The sequence below is a fragment of the Homo sapiens genome, chromosome 19 (assembly GCF_000001405.40).
Source record: "Homo sapiens chromosome 19, GRCh38.p14 Primary Assembly".
NCBI classification, from domain to species: domain Eukaryota; kingdom Metazoa; phylum Chordata; class Mammalia; order Primates; family Hominidae; genus Homo; species Homo sapiens.
The window spans coordinates 9,585,249-9,605,460 of record NC_000019.10 but is presented as its reverse complement, the minus strand read 5'-3'; the positions used below and the strand labels follow the sequence as shown (position 1 = coordinate 9,605,460).

Genomic DNA, 20,212 nt, shown 5'->3' with positions numbered 1-20,212 from the left:
GTCGTGCCCCTGCACTTCAGCCTGGGCAACAGAGGAATACTCCATCTCAAACAAAACAAAACAAAACAAAACAAAACAAAACAAAACAAAGGCCTGGCACAGTGGCTCATGCCTGTAATTCCACTTTGGGAGGCCGAGGTGGGCAGATCACGAGGTCAAGAGGTTGAGACCATCCTGGCCAACATAGTGAAACTCTGTCTCTACTAAAAAATACAAAAATTAGCTAGGCCTGTTGGCGTGCACCTGTAATCCCAGCTACTCAGGAGGCTGAGGCTGGAGAATCACTTAAACGTGGAAGGCGGATGTTGCAGTGAGCCGATATCGTGCCACTGCACTCCAGCCTGGGTGACAGAGCGAGACTCCATCTCAAAAAAAAAAAAAAAAAAAAAAAGTACCCAGTCTCTGTTATTTCTTCATAGCAATATGAAAATGGACTAATACGTCAGAAGTTAGAATTTCAAGACCTACCAGGCATTTATTTCAGTGATTCTCAAAAGCCATCTTCAACAGAACCCCTTCCTTTCTCAGATTTCTTCCATTGGCTCCTGAACCTGGTTGGATGGACTGACAGAAGAGTGTTCTTGAAGCCCCCAGAGTGACTCTCCCCACCTGAAAGTAGGGACTCAGCCCTATCCAGAGTTGCAGAGGGCCAGAGAATTGACTGCTGTCTGGCGAGGCTGCCGTCTATCCCCCACTGCATTCTCTAGTCCGTCAGAGCAGAGGGTTTCATCTGTCCTCCACTGAGGCTGCAGTTTTACCCCTGAGAACAGGTGAATGTTCCCCTTTGGGGGAGGATGTGTCTGAAAGGGTCTTGAGTATTGCTGTGGGCAAACTCCACACATCATCCATAATGGTGAATGCACTAATACAAAGATACAAATCAGCCAGAACCAACCTTACATTCCTGGAGTAAATGCCACTGGGTTTACTACTTTCTTACCATGGCGTTGGAATTTGTTTGCTAATTTCTTTCTTTCCCTCCCTCTCTCTCTCTTTCTTTCATCTTTTTTTGTTTTTTGTTTTTTGTTTTTTTGTTTTTTTGAGACGGAGTTTCACTCTTGTTGCCCAGGCTGCAGTGCAATGGCGTGATCTCGGCTCACCACAACCTCGGCCTCCCAGGTTCAAGCGATTCTCCTGCTTCAGCCTCCTTAGTAGCTGGGATTACAGGCATGTGTCACTACGCCCAGCTAATTTTGTATTTTTAGTAGAGACGGGGTTTCTCCATGTTGGTCAGCCTGGTCTCGAACTTCCGACCTCAGGTGATCTGCCCACCTCGGCCTCTGAAGTGCTGGGATTACAGGCGTGAGCCACCGCACCCGGCTCTTTCTTTCTTTCTTTTTCTTCCTTCCTTCCTTCCTTCCTTTCTTTCTTTCTTTCTTTCTTTCTTTCTTTCTTTCTTTCTTTCTTTTTCTTTCTTTCCTTCCTTCCTTCCTTCTTTCTTTCCTCCTTTCCTTCCTTTCCTTCTTTCCTTTCCTTTCCCTTCCCTTCCCCTTCCTTCCTTCCTTTCTTTCTTTCTTTCTTCCTTTCCTTTCTTTCTCCTTCCTTCCTTCCTTCTTTCTTTCTTTTTCACCCTTCCTTCCCTCCCTCCCTCTCCTTTTCTTTCTTTCTTGCTTTCTTTTCTTTTCTTTCTTTCCTTCTTTCTTTCCCCTTCCTTTCTTCCTTCTCTTTCTTTCTTTCTTTCTTTCTTTCTTTCTTTCTTTCTTTCTTTCTTTCTCTCTCTCTCTCTTTCTTTCTTTCTTTCTCTCTCTCTCTCCCCCTCTCTCCCTCCCTCCCTCCCTCCCTCCCTTCGTTCCTTCCTTTCTTTTCTTCCCCCCTCCCCTCCCCCCCCTCCCTTCCCCTCTCATCTTGCTTTATCACCTAGGCTAGGTGCAGTGTTGCAGACACAGCTCACTGTAGCCCTGACCTCCTGGGCTCAAGCAATCTTCCCACCTCAGCCTCCCAAGTAGCTGGGAGTACAGGGGTGCTCTACCACACCCAGCTAATTTTTAAATTTTTTGTAGAGATAGTCGCTTGCTATGTTGCCCAGGCTGCTCTCAAACTCCTGGGCTCAAGCAATCCTGCCTCTATTATACTTAGTGCATTTTTTTTGTTTGTTTTTTGGTGTTTTTTTGCTTGTTTGTTTTGTTTGTTTGTTTGTTTTTAGATGGAGTCTTGCTCTGTCGCCAGGCTGGAGTACAGTGGCGCGATCTCGGCTCACTGCAACTTCTGCATCCTGGGTTCAAACAATTCTCCTGCCTCAGCCTCCCGAGTAGCTGGGACTACAGTCACGCGACACTACACCCAGCTAATTTTTGTATTTTTAGTAGAGATGGGGTTTCACCACGTTGGCCAGGATAGTCTCAATCTCTTGACCTCATGATCAGCCCGCCTTGGCCTCCCAAAGTGCTGGGATTACAGGCGTGAGCCACTGTGCCCGGCCTACTTAGTACATTTGTAGCAATATTCATTACTGATATGATTCTGCAGTTTTTAATGATTGTACTATTTTTATCAGTGATAGAAACAAGATATACATATATCTTGTACTGGCATCATAAAAAGCTTTAGCAAAATTTGCTTCATTTTTAATACTCTGAAAGGATTTATGGAGAATTAGGACCAACTGGACCTTGAAAATTTCATGTAATGTAAAAATGTCTGGGCTGGGAATGGTGGCTCATGCTTGTAATCTGAGCACTTTGGGAGGCTGAGAAGAGAGGATCATTCTAGCTCAAGAGTTTGAGAATAGCCTGGGCAATGGAGTGAGATACCATCTCTACCAAAAAAAAAAAACAAAAAAACTCTTGAGTTTAGGTGCTGTATTCCTTCCATTGCAACTACTAAGTACACTGAGCCAGGGGTATTACTTGAGGCCAGGCATTCAAGGCAATAGTGTACAACTATTACATATCAATTTTTTTTTAGTTGATCTCACTCTGTCATCCAGGCTGGAGTGCAGTGGCATGATCTTGGCTCACTGGACCCTTCACCTCCCCAGTTCAAATGATTCTCCTGCCTCAGCCTCCTGAGTAGCTGGGATTACAGGCATGTGCCACCTCGCCCAGCTAATTTATTTTATTTTATTGTATTTATTTATTTAACTTTTTTTTTTTTTTGAGGCAGAATCTCACTCTATCGCCCATGCTGGAGTGCAATCATGCGATCTGGGCTCACTGCAACCTCCTTCTCCTGGATTCAAGTGATTCTCCTGCCTCAGCCTCCTGAGTAGCTCAGATTACAGGTGTGCACCACCAAGTCCAGCTAATATTTGTATTTTTAGTTGACACAGGGTTTCACCATGTTGGTCAGGCTGGTCTTGAACTCCTGACCTTGTGATCCCCCCACCTCGGCCTCCCAAACTGCTGGGAGTATTACAGGTGTGAACCACTGCACCTGGCCTTTGCCCAGCTAATTTTTGTATTTTTAGTTGAGTTGGGGTGTTGCCATGTTGACTAGGCTGGTCTCAAACTCCTTACTTCAGGTGATCTGCCTGCCTTGGCCTCCCAAAATGCTAGGATTACAGGCATGAGCTACTGAGCCCAGCTTTACATATCAATTCTAAAAAGAGTTATACTTCTAAGACTTTGGTTTTTTTTTTTCTTCCTTTTTTCTGGGGGACAGGGTCTCACCCTGTCACCCAGGCTGGAGTGCCGTGACACAATTGTGGCTCACTACAACCTTGACCTCGTGAGCTCGGGTGATACTCCCACCTCAGACTCCCCAGTAGTTGGGACTGCAGGCATGCACGACCACACCTGGGTAATTTTTGGTACTTTTTGTAGAGACAGAGTTTCAGCCTGTTGCCTAAGCAACATAGCAAGACCCTGTCTCCACAAAAATTTTTTAAAACCTGGCCAGGCATGTTGGTGCACACCTGTAGTCCCAGCTACTTGAGATGCTGAGGCAGAAGGATTGCTTGAGCCCAGGAGTTCAAGGCTATAATGAGCTATGATTGAATTACTGACTCCAGGCTGGGCAACAGAGCAAGACCCTGCATCAAAAAAAAAAAAAAAAAATGTGTTACTTGTCAATTTTATGTGCTTTTTATCACAGTAAAAAGAAATACAATAAAACAGAAGTTACTGCCCGGGCACAGTGGCTCATGCCTGTAATCCCAGCACTTTGGGAGTCCAAGGTGGGTGGATCACTTGGGGCCAGGAATTCGAGACCAGCCTGGCCAATATGGCAAAAACCCTGTCACTAGTAAAAGTACAAAAGTTAGCTGGGTGTGGTGGCATGTGCCTATAATCCCAGCTACTCGGCCGACTGAGGCATAAGAATTACTTGAACCTGGGAGGTGGAGGCTGCAGTGATCTGAGATTGTGCCACTGCACTCCAGCCTGGCCAATAGAGCAAGACTCTGTCTCAAAAAAATAAAATAAAATAAAAAATAAAAAAATTTTAAAAAACCCCAGAAGTTACTTGGGTCAGTTCTTGTTTATTTTTTTCTTTCCGTTTTGGTCTGTCTTGAGCCCCTACCTATATTAAGGATCCAATAGCAGAGTGACTAGCAATGCTGCCCTAACAAGAAATGAAGGGGAGCCAGATGTGGGTGTTTACAGGGAGCCTTTCTTTCAAGTGATACATTTTATTTTATTTATTTATTTGTTTATTTTTATTTTATTTATTTTTTTGAGTTGGAGTCTTGTTCTGTCTCCCATGTTGGAGTGCAGTGGCACGATCTCGGCTCACTGCAACCTCCTTCTCCGGGGTTCAAGCGATTCTCCTGCCTCGGCCTTCTGAGTAGCTGGGATTACAAGCACATGCCACAACGTCCGGCTAATTTTTGTATATTTAGTACAGATGAGATTTCACCATGTTGGTCAGGCTTGTCTCGATCTCCTGACCTTGTTGATCCACCCGCCTTAGCCTCCCAAAGTGCTGGGATTACAGGCGTGAGCCACCGCGCCCAGCAGCCTATTTTTTTTTTAATTTAATTTAATTTTTTTTTTTTTTTTTGAGACAGAGTGTCGCTCTGTTGCCCAGGCTGGAGTGCAGTGGCGCAATATCAGCTTACTGCAACCTCCGCCTCTCCGGTTTAAGCAATTCTGCCTCAGCCTCCCAAGTAGGTGGGACTATAGGCACATCCGCCACGCCTGGCTAATTTTTTTTTTTTTTGTATTTTAGTAGAGACGGGGTTTCACCATGTTGCTGAGGCTGGTCTTGAACTCCTGAGTTCAGGCAATCCGCCTGCCTCAGCCTCCCAAAGTGCTAGGATTACAGGCGTGAGCCACTGCACTCAGCATTATTTCCATTCTATTCTATTCTATTCTGTTCTATTCTATTCTATTCTTTTTTTTTTTTTTTTTTTTTTTTGAGATGGAGTCTCCCTCTATCGCCCAGGCTGGAGTGCAGTGGCGCAATTTCGGCTCACTGCAACCTCTGTCTCCCAGGTTCAAGCAATTCTCCAGCCTCAGCCTCCCAAGTAGCTGGGGTTATTTTTGTATTTTTAGTAGAGATGGGGTTTCACCATACTGGTCAGGCTGGTCTCGAACTCCTGACCTCAGGTGATCCACCCGCTTTGGCCTTCCAAAGTGCTGGGACTACAGGCGTGAGCCACCATGCCCGGCCCATTCCATTCCATTCCATTCCATTCCATTCCATTCCATTCATTCCATTCCATTCCATTGCATTCTTGAGATGGAGTCTTGCTGTGTTGCCCAGGCTGGAGTGCAATGACTTGATCTTGGCTGACTGCAACCTCTGCCTCCTGGATTCAAGCGATTCTCCTGCCTCAGCCTCCTGAGTAGCTGGGACTACAGGCATGAACCACGACACCCGGCTAATATTGTATTTTTATTAGAGATGGGGTTTCATCATGTTGGTCAGGCTGGTCTCAAACTCCTGACCTCAGGCGATCTGCCCGCCTCAGCCTCCCAAAGTGCTGGGATTTCAGGAGTGAGCCACCACGACTGGCCTAAGGGATACATTTTTTAAAGTTAATTAATTATTTATTGATTGATGAATGACAGAGTCTGCCTTTGTCATCCAGGCTGGATGGAGTGCAGTAGCGTGATCTCAGCTCACTGCAACCTGCCACTCCAGAGCTCAAGCGATTCTCCTGCTTCAGCCTCCCAAGTAGCTTGGATTACATGCCTCCACTACCATGCTGGGCTAATTTTTGTATTTTTAGTAGAGACGGGGTGTCGCCATGTTGGCTATGCTGGTCTGGAACTCCTTAGCTAAGTGATCTGCCTGCTTCAGCCTCCCAAAGTGCTGGGATTACAGTGTGAGTTGTCACGCAAAACCTGGTTGACAGGGGGTCCCTCACCTGGGAAACTTGTTTATACTGATAGATGACCTAGGCCGCTCTTTTTTTTTTTTTTTTTTTTTTTTTTAAGATGGAGTCTCCCTGTGTCTCCCAAGCTGGAGCGCAGTGGCCCGATCTTGGCTTACTTCAACCTCCGCCTCCTGGGTTCAAGCAGTTCTCCTGCCTCAGCCTCCCCGAGTAGCTGGGACTACAGGCATATGCCACCACACCCAGCTAATATTTTTGGTATTTTTAGTAGAGACGAGGTTTCACCATGTTGGCCAGGCTGGTCTCAAACTCTTGACCTCAGGTGATCCGCTCACCTTGGCCTCCCAAAGTGCTGGGATTACAGGCGTGAGTCACCGTGCCCAGCGACATAGCTGCTCTTGTCTGACCTGTGTTCAGTTTATGCCTGCCTGATCATCACTCTGACACTGGAAACCTGACCTTGTGTCCCCACCAGCTCCCTGGGGAAATCTCAACCAGGGGCGGCCCCTGGTTCTTCAGATGGTATGTGCAAATTCAAAACACCACCCCAATAGGACATAATTTCAAAGATTTATTGCTTACACGTCCTGGGAAGGGAGGGCAAAATGAGTTTTGAGGACAGTCTTCCATCCATGGGTCACGCAAGGCAGGGATGAGAGGCAGAGAAGGAGGGAGGTTGTGGCAGCTAGCTGTATACATAAGGGAATAGGGTGTGAGTCACTTTAAATTTAGGAGCAAATACATGGATAGTCAGTTTAAAGGAAGTAGGAGGAAAACACTATCTTGGGCAGGAAAGATGTCTCTAGATTCTTTCTAGATTTTTTTTTTTTTGAGACACAGTTTTGCTCTGTCACCCAGGCTAGAGTGCAGTGGTGTGATCTCGGCTCACTGCGAGCTCTGCCTCCCGGGTTCACTCCATTCTGCCTTGGCCTCCTGGGTAGCTGGGAGTACAGGTGCCCACAACCACGCCCGGCTAATTTTTTTGTGTGTGTTTTTAGTAGAGACGGCGATTCACTGTGTTAGCCAGGATGGTCTCAATCTCCTGACCTCGTGATCCACCCGCCTCGGCCTCCCAAAGTGCTGGGATTACAGGCGTGAGCCACCGCGCCTGGCCAATTCTTTCTGCATTCTTATCTCTAGCCACAGGCTTGAGCTGATTGGGTGTGGTGTTTATTTATTTACTTATTTTTTTGAGATGGAGTCTCTGCACCCAGGCTGGAGTGCAGTGTAGCGATCTTGGCTCACTGCAACCTCTGCCTCTTGGGTTCAAGCAATTCTCCTGTCTCAGCCTCCTGAGTATCTGGGACTACAGGCACGCACCAGCATGCCCAGCTAATTTTTGTATTTTTTAGTAGAGATGGGGTTTCACCATATTGGCCAGGCTGGTGTCGAACTCCTGACCTCGTAATCCACCCACCTCAGCCTCCCAAAGTGCTGGGATTAAAGGCCTGAGCCACTGTGCCTGGCCTCTTTGTTAATTTTTTAAAATATTAAATATGTAAAGGAATAAAGGGCCAAGCACAGTGGCTCATGTCTGTAATCCCAACAATGTAGGAGGCCAAGGCTGAGCATGGTGGCTCATGCCTGTAATCTGAGCACTTTGGGTGGCCTTGGCAGGTGGATCACAAGGTCAGGAGATCAAGAGCATCCTGGCCAACATGGTGAAACCCCGTCTCTACTAAAAATACGAAAATTCACTGGGCGTGGTGGCTGGCACCTGTAGTCCCAGCTACTTGGGGGGCTGAGGCATGAGAATCACTTGAACCCAGGAGGCAGAGGTTGCAGTGAGCTGAGATCAGTCCACTGCACTCCAGCCTGGCAACAGAGTGAGAGTCTGTCTCAAAAAAAAAAAAAAGAAATGTGGGAGGCCAAGGATAGAGAATCACTTTAGAGTTGTTGAGTGTGAATTCGAAGTTTCCCTTCAAAGAATTAATATGTCAGTATGCTCAATTCTTTGCCTTCTACTTTTAAACTTCCTCGTAAAGCAACCTTTTCCACCCTGACACATTCTACTCCTTGACTCATTACCTACTCCACCCTGACTCATTCTGCTCATTCAGATTACCTTCTCCACCCTGACTCATTCATTCCAATTCATTTCATAACCATTTTTCCTGCCAAACCACTCACCCCGTCCATCTCTTTAAATTAATCAGTTGGAATTAGTTTAGCCTGTGTGGTCTAACTCTACCCAATAGGGGAATGACACAGCAGTAGGGACCAGGTGCATCAGTAATAAGAACGCCTTTCCCTCCTTTGTGAAGGTGTGTGCCCACCATTGCTCCATCTGTGAGAGCACACCCTTCTATAGAAGTACCTTGCCTTGCTGAGAATTAAAAATAAAATTTTATATTTGAATGCGATTTCTTTTTCTTTTTTTTTTTTTTTTTGAGATGGAGTCTCACTCTGTTGTCCAGGCTGGGGTTCAGTGGTGTGATCTCTGCTCACTGCAAGCTCCACCTCCCAGGTTCACACCATTCTCCTGCCTCAGCCTCCTGAGTAGCTGAGACTACAGGTGCCCGCCACCACGCCCGGCTCATTTTTTGTATTTTTTAGTAGAGATGGGGTTTCACTGTGTTAGCCAGGATGGTCTCGATCTCCTGCCCTTGTGATCCACCCACCTAGGCCTCCCAAAGTGCTGGAATTACAGACATGAGCCACTGCATCTGGCCTCGAGTGCTATTTCTTTTGCAGCACTGAAACTTATTATATAACAATTTGGGGGCTCATCCAGGATTACATTCCCCTCTGGGGGTGGTCTCTGGTTCTCTCTCTTGAGGAGGCATGCACCCCACCCTTTGTGGTGGCCTCATAGGGGAGAAATCAGAACCCACCCATTGTGAGGAATAACCCTAGCTCTAAGCAATGCAGGAAAAAAACAACTGGCCAGCAACCTAGCTTAAAGGATCCTCACATACTGCAGTGATGACTCTGTGCACCTACCAAGGAAGGAGATGCCACAGGAGCCAGTAAAGTATTTCCTTGGTGGTCAGGAACAAGGTAAGAAAGCCACGGGGGTTGGGGGTGGGTGCAGTGAAGTACTCCTTGGTCAGGGTGGCTAAGTGGTTAAAAAGAGGTGAGACATCCCCATTGTTGGGGGGGATTGAACCTCACACAAACCTCCAATAGTAGAAAAGGCAAGAAATTTCCAGAGGGGAAATTGAGCCTTACCCCAAAAGGCAAAAAGTTTCCAGTGAAAATTAAGCCTCACCCTGAAAGGTGAGAAATTTCCAGTAAGGGAAACTGAACCTTGAACCTTACCCCAAAACCATCAAGATGGGAAATACCCCAAGCAAGACAGGGAGCAAGGGGGATAAAGATGGTAACAAAGATATTCCCCCAGATAGCCCCCTAGGTCTCATGCTGAAACACTGGAAGGATAATGAAAGGACTAAACATAGGAAAAAGCAACAAATAATAAAATATTGCTGTTTTATTTGGACTCAGGGACCCATCCTTAATTCCTCAATCTTCTGGCCAAAGTTTGAATCAACTGAGGATGTAATGTGTCAGCTTCCAATCTGATATGTTAATAATAAAAGTCCAGTGTCTCAAGAAGAACTACGCTATGCCCTTTGTTGGAGGCAAGGACCAGCCCTCCTTTTTCCCTTAAAAACAAATAGGGAAGAACCCAATCTGGCACCTCAAAATGAAAAGTCAGAGGAGCCAGATCTCATGCCTAAAGACTCCAGTGCATGGGATCCCCTAAACTATCTTCCTCCATTCAGTATCCCCAATCTTTCCCCTCAGACAGCCACTTCCACCTCAGATCCCATTCTAAACTCCCCCTCTACTCGTGTTATCCCTCCTCCTTATAACCCTGACTCTTGGGAATTACCATCCCACCAGCCTGTCCTCCCCCCAACCTAAATACCCCTCTCTAAAAGGACTCCAGCGTGAGGTAGAACAATGTAAAAAAGATACTCAGAATTTTCCGCTTCCCTCCATACCTAAGAGGTCAGCCCTGACCTTATTCCCTTTGAAAGAGGTACCACAAGGAGTGGGGGCCAATGGCTTTGTAATTGGCTTTGTAAATGCTCCCTTAACCAGTTCAGAAGTCCGGAATTTTAAAAAGGAGCTTAAACCACTACTAGATGACCTTTACAGAGTGGCAGACCAAATTGACCAATTCTTAGGACCTCAGTTACACTTGGGTCGAGTTAATGTCCATCTTGGCCGTCCTCTTTTCAGGGGAAAAAAGGAGTATGATTCCTAGGGCTGCTATGGTACTTAGGGAACGTGAGCACCCTCCCGGTAAAAACGTTCCTACCGCGGAACAGAAATTCCCCACCCAAGACCCCCGGTGGGACAATAACAACGCAGATCACCGGGAAAATATGCAGGACCTAAGGGAGATGATAATAAAAGGAAATCAGGAATCAGTACCCTGAACCCGCAATCTTTCTAAAGCGCTTGATATACAACAGGAAAAGGATGAAGGGACTGTGAGATTCCTAGACAGACTGAGGGAGCAAATGAGGCAATATGCAGGCCTTACTTTGGATGATCTCCTTGGGCAAGGAATGTTGAAACTCCAATTTGTCAGTAAAAGTTGCCTAGACATTTCAAAAAAGTTATAAAAAATAGACAATTGGGAAGACCGTCCTCTAAGTGAGCTTCTCAGGGAAGCTTAGAAAGTACATGTGAAACGGGATGAAGAAAAACAGAAACAAAAAACAAAACTTATGTTTTCCACCTTCCAACAGATGGCTCCAAACCCAGGTACTTCTAGACAGAGCTTCCAGGGACCTAGAAAGTATAAAGGGTCTGAACCCTGTTTTAAAGGCCCCCAGCCTCCATCTGGAGGACAAAGGTCCTCATCTACCAGGCCCCCTAAAGAGTATGGGGGGACAGGGTTAAAGAATCCCAGAACTAAGAGGGAGGAAGGACAAGATATGTGCTATAGATGTGGAAGAACAGGCCACTTCAAGAGAGAATGTCCTGAACTAAGGAGAAAGAAGCCCTTCCACTCATGACTTTCAAGGAATAGGGGGGTCAGGGGCCCTGTCTCTTTTATCTTGAGTCCCACCAGGAGCCCTTGATCAATTTGGATGTGGGACCTAAACATGAGCTTATCGCCTTTTTAGTCGATTCAGGGGCTGCTCGCTCCTGTTTGTTTCCCCCCATCTAATGTTGGCTCCTCCTCAGAGGAACTTTTAGTTTCCAGGGTAAAAGGGGAAGGATTTAGAGCAAAAATTTTACAAAGCACAGAAGTTAGACACCAGGATCGCTCAGCTTATATTCAGTTCTTGTTAATCCCTGAAGCAGGAACTAATTTCCTGGGGAGGGATTTAATGTTAAAGTTGGGCATAGGTCTACAAGTCAGCCCAAGAGAATTCTTCACCCCATTAAACCTACTCACCACTGCGGATGAAAAATATATTAATCCTAATGTCTGGTCCAAAGAAGGAGACTAAGGGAAACTCCAAGTCCCTCCAATCCACATCAGCTAAAAACCCCAGGAGAAGTAGTAAGAAGGAAACAATACCCTATTCCCCTAGAAGGCAGGATAAGGTTGAAACCTATAATCAAAGGCCTTATTAAGGACGGGCTTCTCCAGCCCTGTATGTCTCCTTAAAACACCCCAATACTGCCAGTCAAGAAATCAGATGGGTCATATCGGCTAGTACAGGACTGTAGAGCTATCAACCAAATAGTCCAGACTACCCACCCCGTTGTCCCCAATCCTTACACTATTCTTAACAAGATTTCATGTAATCATCAATGGTTTACTGTAATAGATTTGAAGAATGCTTTTTGGGCATGTCCCCTGGCTGAAGATAGCTGAGATCCCCAATCAGGGTGGAAACAACAATATCGATGGACAGTCTTGCCCCAAGGGTTCACAGACTCCCCTAATCTTTTTGGCCAAAGTTTAGAACAAGTACTAGAAAAAGTTGTCATCCCAGAACAAATATACCTTCTTCAGTACGTGGACAACATTCTTATATCTGGTGAAGATATAGAGAAGGTAACTGACTTCTCTACACATATTCTTAATCACCTGTAGTTTGAGGGGCTACGAGTCTCAACAAGAAAGCTTCAGTATGTAGATCCCGAAGTTAAGTATTTAGGCCACTTAATAAGTGCAGACAAGTGAAGAATAGGGCCTGAACGAATTGAGGGAATTGTGTCCCTACCCTTGCCTCAAACTAAACAAGAACTCAGGAAATGTTTAGGATTAGTTAGATACTGCCGCTTTTGGATTGACTCATATGCACTGCACAGTAAACTGTTATATCAAAAACTTGCTCAGGAGAAACCTAACTGTCTCCTGTGGACTTCTGAGGAAGTTGATCAAGTTGAGAAGCTGAAGGAAAGGCTCATAACTGCCCCTGTTTTAGCCTAACCCTCCCTGGAAAAGCCATTCCACCTTTTTGTTAATGTGGACAGTGGGATAACTTTAGGAGTGCTGACTCAAGAGCATGGAGGCTGCCGACAGCCTGTAGCCTTCCTACCAAAAGCCTCAGACCCAGTCACTTGTGGATGGCCTCAATGCATCCAGTCCATCGCAGCTACAGCAATAGTAGTCAAGGAAAGCAGAAAGTTAACCTTTGGAGGAAAATTGACAGTAAGCACGCCTCACCAAGTTAGAACTATCTTAAACCATAGAGCAGGGAGATGGCTTACTGACTCAAGAATCTTAAAGTATGAGGCCATTCTGTTAGAAAAAGATGATTTATGGCCGGGTATGGTGGCTTATGCCTGTAATCCCAGCACTTTGGGAGGCCGAGGCTGGTGGATCACAAGGTCAATAGATCAAGACCATCCTGGCCAACATGGTGAAACCCCATCTCTACTAAAAATACAAAAATTAGCTGGGCGTGGTGGCACACGCCTGTAGTCCCAGCTACTTGGCAGGCTGAAGCAGGAGGATCGCTTGAACCTGGGAGTTGGATGTTGCAGTGAGTTGAGATGGCACCACTGCACTCCAGCCTGGTGACAGAGTGAGACTCCGTCTCAAAAAAAGAAAAAAAAAAAAGGATGGTTTAACACTGACCACTGATAATTCACTCAACCCAGCAGGTTTCCTACAGGGAATCCAAATCTAAGGAGAGAACACACATGTTTAGATTTAATTGATTACCATAGAAAGGTTCGACCAGACCTAGGAGAAACCCCCTTCTGGACTGGAGGGCACTTATTCATAGATGGTTCCTCCTGGGTGATTGAGGGAAAAAGACACAATGGGTATTCAGTGATTGATGGAGAAACTCTCATAGAAATAGAGTCAGAAAAATTGCCCAACAGTTGGTCTGCTCAAATGTGTGAGCTGTTTGCACTCAGCCAAGCCTTAAAGTACTTACAGGACCAGGAGGGAACTATCTATACCGATTCTAAGTACACCTTTGAAGTGGCTCATACATTTGGAAAAATTTGGACTGAACGAGTTCTCATTAATAGTAAAGGTCAAGACCTTGTTCACAAGGAGCTGATCACCCAAGTATTGAATAATCTTCAGTTGCCGGAAAAAATAACTATTGTCCATGTTCCCGGACAACAGAAAAACCTCTTTTGAAAGTCGAGGAAATAACCTAGCAGATCAGGTAGCCAAGCAGGCTGCTGTGTCTTCTGAAATGCATATTTTTCACTTAACTCCCTACCTCCCTCCTCCTACCATAATCCCCATTTTCTCTTCCACCAAAAAAGAGAAACTAATAAACATAGACGCTAAAGAGAATTCAGAAGGAAAGTGGATGCTGTCAGACCAGAGAGAAATGTTGTCCAAACCCCTTATGAGGGAAGTCTTATCCTAACTACATCATGAGACCCACTGGGGGCCCCAGGCCATGTGTGATGCAGTTCTCAGAGTTTATAGTTATATAGGAATTTATACTCTGGCCAAACAGGTTACAGATAGTTGCTTAGTATGTAAGAAAACTAATAGACATACTATAAAAAGATTACCTCTCGGGGGAAGGAATCTGGGCTTAAGGCCATTCCAAAGTATCCAAGTTGATTACACAGAAATGCCTCCAATAGGTCGTCTAAAATATTTACTAGTGATAGTAGACTACCTCACTCACTTGGTTGAAGCTGTCCCCTTTTCAAATGCAACAGCCAATAATGTAGTTAAGGCCTTAATTGAAAATATAGTACCCAGGTTTGGACTAATAGAAAATATTGACTCAGACAATGGAACTCATTTCACCACACACATTATTAAAAAGCTATCCCAAACATTAGACATTAAATAGGAACACCATACTCCCTGGCACCCACCCTCATCAGGGAGAGTAGAAAGAATGAATCAGACTCTAAAGAACCACTTAACCAAATTAGTCTTAGAGACTCGATTGCCATGGACCAAGTGTCTTCCTATCGCCCTGCTGAGAATTCAAACTGCACCACGGAAAGACGTTGGTCTTTCTCCTTATGAGATGCTCTATGGATTACCTTATTTGCACTCCACTGCTGATATTCCTACCTTTGAAACAAAAGATCAATCCTTAAAAATTATATACTTTGTCTATCTTCTATTCTCTCTTCTCTTAAAACTAAAGGTCTATTAGCACAGGTGCCACCCTTAGAGTTCCCAGTGCATCATCAGCCTGGGGATCATGTCCTCATCAAGAGCTGGAAAGAGGAGAAGCCTGAGCCAGCCTGGGAATCTCATTACTTACTGCTCCTCACTACTGAAACCGCAGTCCGCACGGCAGAGAGAGGATGGACTCATCACACCAGAGTCAAGAACGCGCCACCACCTCCAGAGTGGTGGGCCATAGTCCCAGGGGAAAACCCTACCAAACTAAAGCTAAGAAGAATTTAACTGTCTTTCATCTATTCTATTACTCTTTCTTCTTTCCTCGCTCTGTTGCTGACCATCTAGTTATTAACATAACCAAGTCAATTTTGCCTCAAACTGTTGCATTTAATGCTTGCCTTGTTATACCCTGTGGGGATTTGTCAAGTCAAAGGCAGCTCACTACTTCAGAAAAGCACCTCTGTCCCTCCTGGCTCTCCTCAGACTGGGCATTAGTGAATTAGGACCATTTAATCTGGGAGATTTCCATAAAGATCCCAGTGGAAACCAGGAGTCTTGACCCCAACCCCCGATGTAGAGCTTTTATGCCGTAGTTGGTCCAACGTTCTGTGGACCACCAAAGAGCAAGGATGGACTGCCCTAACCAGTTTTTGGAATTTCCTAAAACCATACATTCATTTACTAAAGGGACAGCCCCCCCCAACTGTCAGCCAAACCAGTGCAACCCTATACAGGTTAGTATTTTGAGCCCCAAAGTTCTCCTTTTCTAAGCCAGTTCCTTTCTTTAAGCCGGTTTTATGGTATAGGGGCTGAGGTTTCAAGGACAGACCCTACTGGATTCTTTGAAATGCGTTTCTTTGATCTCCCGCTGCCTGCACCTGCCTCTTAGCCTTTTTCCAAAACCTCTCACAACGGAACCATTGTTCCTCCTCCATCTAAGGACAAGGCCATGATAGCGATGGTAGAAGTTAAAGACTTAAACTTTGGCAATTGAGACAGGATACCAAGATGTAAATACCTGGTTGGAATGGATCAAATATTCCATCCGCATGTTAAACAAAAGCAATTGTTATGCTAGTGCGCACAGCAGGCCAGAGGCCCAGATTGTCCCCTTTCCACTAGGGTGGTTCTCCAATAGACCGGGCATGGGCTGCATGGTAACTCTTTTCCAGGATTCTACAGCCTAGGGTAAAGAGTCATGCCGACTCTCTGTCTCTGCTATATCCTGAAGTTCAACAACATGCTGGTCAGCCCCCGAGGGCCATCCAGCTTCCATCTCCCAACATTAAGTTCACTTCGTGTCTCTCACAACAGAGAGGAAACTTAGTGTTCCTTGGAGACCTGAAGGGATGCAGTGAGCTTAAGAACTTTCAAGAGCTTACCAATCAGTCAGCCCTTGCTCATCCCTGAGCGGATGTGTGGTGGTATTGTGGTGGACCTTTACTGGACACTCTGCTGAATAACTGGAGTGGCACTTGTGCTTTAGTCCAATTGGCTATCCCTTTCACCCTGGCATTTCAGCAACCAGAGGGAGGAAAGATAAGACTTCGTAAAGCAAGACAAGCCCGTTATAGGTCTTTCAACTCTCACGGCTATTTAGATGCAATTGGAGTCCCACGGGGAATACCAGATCAATTTAAAGCCCAAAATCCAATAGCTGCAGGATTTAAGTCAATATTTTGGTAGGCGACAGTTAATAAAAATGTAGATTGGGTGGGCCGGGCGCGATGGCTCATGCCTGTAATCCCAGCACTTTGGGAGGCCGAGGCGGGCGGATCACAAGGTCAGGAGATTGAGACCATCCTGGGTAACGCGGTGAAACCCTGTCTCTACTAAAAATACAAAAAATTCACCGGGCATGGTGGCAGGTGCCTGTAGTCCCAACTACTCAGGAGGCTGAGGTAGGAGAATGGCATGAACCCAGGAGGCGGAGCTTGCAGTGAGCCAAGATCGCACCACTGCATTCCAGCCTGGGTGACAGAGTGAGACTCCATCTCAAAAAAAAAAAAATGTAGATTGGGTAAACTACATCTATTACAACCAACAGCGATTTATTAACTACACTAGAGATGCTGTTAAAGGAATAGCTGAGCAATTGGGGGCTACTAACCTGATGGCTTGGGAAAATAGGATAGCTTTAGACATGGTATTAGCAGAAAGAGGAGGAGTTTGCATCATTATTAAAACTCATTGTTGCAACTTCATCCCAAACAACACGGCCCCTAATGGAAGTATAAGAAAGGCATTGCAAGGCCTGACTCCTCTATCCAATGAGTTGGCCAGCAATTCAGGGGTAAATTACCCATTTACAGAATGGCTAGAAAAGTGGTTCGGTAAATGGAAAGGAATAATAGCCTCAATTCTCACCTCCCTTGTAGCCGTAATGGGTGTACTTATCCTTGTCAGGTGCCGTGTCATACCATGCATCTGTAGGTTGGTGCAGAGGCTCATAGAAATGGCACTTACTAAAACCTCCTTTAACTATCCTCCACCTTATCCAGAGAAGCTCCTTCTTTTGGAAAATCAAGCAGAACAACTAAGTCAAGACATGTTAAATAAGTTTGAAGAGAAAGCCATAAAAAAAATGCAAGAGGAGGAAGTTGTTGAAAATGAATTATAAATTTCTCTTCAAAGAATTAATATGTCAGTATGCTCAATTCTTTGCCTTCTACTTTTAAACTTAACTTCCTCATAAAGCACCCTTTTCCCAAACCGCTCACTCCATCACTCTCTTTAAATTAGTCAATCGGAATTAGTTTAGCCTGTGAGGTCCAACCCTAGCCAGTAGGGGAACGACAGAGCAGTAGGGACCACGTGTGTCAGGAATAAGAACCCCTTTCCCTCCCTTGTCCAGGTGTGTGCCCACCATTGCTCCATCTGTGAGAGTGCACCCTTCTATAGAAGTATCTTGCCTTGCTGAGAATTAAAAAGAAAATTTTATATTCAAGTGTTATTTCTTTTGTGGCACCAAAACTTTATATGTGACAGACTGGAAGTTCAAGAGCAGCCTGGGCAACATAGAGAGATCTCTTCTCTACCCAAAATATTTTTAAAAATTAGCTGGATGTGGTGGTGTACATATGTATTCCCTGGTACTTGGGCAGGAGGATTACTTGAGCTCACAAAGTAAAGGCTGCACTGAGCAATGATAACGCTACTACACTCCAGCCTGTGTGACAGAGTGAAACCCTGTCAAAAAGAAAAAAAAAAAGTAGAATGTGATTTTAAACATCAGAACTAAACAGAATGATATGCTCAGAGAGGTTTCCCTATCCCTATCCTCTCCATTTTGTTCTTATCCCACCATTCTGTTCAAGCCCTTCCCATCTATCCCCGATAGATTCTGAATCTTATTATTTTCAGGATAGTCCTATCAGTGTTTCCCTGTACTCAGAATGAACAGATAATTACATATTTTATTTTTATTTTTTTGAGACTGAGTCTCACTCTATCGCCCAGGCTGGAGTGCAATGGCGCGATCTTGGCTCAATACAACCGCCGCTTCCCGGGTATAAGCAATTCTCCTGCCTCATCCTCCCGAGTAGCTGGGATTACAGGCGCCCGCCACCATGCCCGGCTAATTTTTGTATTTTTAGTAGAGGCGGAGTTTCACCATGTTGGCCAGACTTGTCCTTCAGAACTTTTTAACTGGAAGATATGCTGCCAGGCTGCTGAGCATCGTCACTTAGTCATATAAGCCCCCTCTTTGATTCCCCTTCTCCTCTGGGAGTCTTTCTTCCTTTCCACCCTTTCTGAGCAGCGACCCACAGGTAGAAGCCTGTGGATATTCTCTTGCTGTTTGCTACCTCCCGCCACTCCTTACCTGTCAAAGCACATCCCAAATGAAGCTTGTGTGCTACTGCCGCCTTGTGGTCACGTCTTTTTCCTTACTCAGCCAAGAAATCACTTACACCCTGAATGCGTATATGGTTTTATTTTTCACATTTAGATCCCTAGTCCATTTAGAGTTTATTCTTGTATATGCTGTGAAGTATGGATTTAATTTCATCTTTTCTCTGATGGCTACCCAGCTGTCTTAGACTTTCCATTACAAATGGCTTTTTTTGCCTCATTGATCTGAAATACCTTTTTTTTTTTTTTTTGAGATGGATTTTCACTCTTGTTGCCCAGGCTGGAGTCCAGTGGCGCGATCTCGGCTCACTGCAACCTCTGCCTTCTGGGTTTCAGCGATTCTCCTGCCTCAGCCTCCCGAATAGCTGGGATTACAGAAAGCCCACCACCATGCTTGGCTAATTTTATTTTTGTATTTTTATTAGAGACAGGGTTTCACCATGTTGGACAGGCTGGTTTCGAACTCCTGACTTCAGGTGATCCTCCCGCCTCAGCCTCCCAAATTGCTAGGATTACAGGTATGAGCCACCGCGCCTGGCAAAATACCACATTTATGAACCAAATTCCTACATGTTCTTGGGTCTGTTTTTAGATATTTTATTAGTCTGTTTCTGCTTCATGTGCTAGTACCACATAGTTTTAATTATAGAGGCTTTATAGTATGTCTTATTTATTTTTATTTTAATATAATTTAATTATTTGCCTTGTGTGAAAACTGTTAATAGTATGTTTTAACATCTGCTGCTCATCATTGCTTTTGTTTTTGTTTTCTTGGTTATTATCAGATATTTATTCTTCCACATAAACTTTAGTATCAACGTACCTAACTCCAGAAAAAACTTTTAATATTTTTACTGGGATTATGTTACATTTCTGAATAAACCTGGGGAGAATGTCTGGTGTCAGTGCTATTTTACAATGTAGGAAATGTGGTCCTGGCCCATGTGGGAAGATCAGAAAAATAACAATAGAAATACATGTTTTTGGCCAGGCGTGGTGGCTCACATCTGTAATCCCAGCACTTTGGAAAGGTGAGGCAGGCGGATCATGAGGTCAGGAGTTCGAGACCAACTGGGCCAATATGGTGAAACCCTGTCTTTACTAAAAATACAAAAATTAGCCGGGCATGGCGGCGCCTGCCTGTAATCTCTGCTACTCAGGAGGCTGAGAGAGAAGAATCGCTTGAACCCGGGAGGCAGAGGTTGCAGTGAGCAAGATCGTGCCACTGCACTCCAGCCTGGGCAACAGAGCTAGACTCCATCTCAAAACAAAAACAAAAACATATTTAAAATTTTTTTTAAACAGAGACGGGGTCTTGCTGTATTGCCCAGGCTGGTCTCAAACTCCTGGCCTCAAACGATCCCTTGGCCTCCCAAATTGCTGGGATTATAGGCATAAGCCACCATACCCAGCCAGAAATACATACTTGATGAAGACAAAAAAAAATCAAGATTTACAGAAAATATTATTATATTGAAAACGTGGCCGGGTGCGGTGGCTCATGTCTATAATTCCAGCACTTTGGGAAGCTGAGGGAGACAGATCATTGGAGGTCAGGAGTTCGAGATCAGTCTGGCCATCATGGTGAAACTCTTCTCTACTAAAAGTACAAAAATTAGCTGGGCGTGGAGGCAGACATCTGTAATCCCAGCTACTCG

At 45.0% G+C, this 20,212-nt stretch overlaps 1 long non-coding RNA gene across 1 annotated transcript, besides 1 other annotated feature; it reads left to right on the top strand.

Moving 5' to 3' along the window:
• The first annotated feature begins 9,121 nt into the window (after positions 1-9,121).
• On the top strand, positions 9,122-14,992 carry LOC105376914 (uncharacterized). The gene is made up of 2 exons (XR_936311.3): positions 9,122-9,217; positions 14,722-14,992. It is a non-coding gene; the product is annotated as an uncharacterized LOC105376914 (long non-coding RNA).
• Positions 15,380-16,026: an enhancer, noted in NCBI's record as "OCT4-NANOG hESC enhancer chr19:9700111-9700757 (GRCh37/hg19 assembly coordinates)". NCBI's record gives its function as "activates a minimal SCP1, AML or CMV promoter by ChIP-STARR-seq in naive H9 embryonic stem cells {active_cell/tissue: H9 hESC(naive)}" and the evidence as "EXISTENCE:reporter gene assay evidence [ECO:0000049][PMID:30033119]".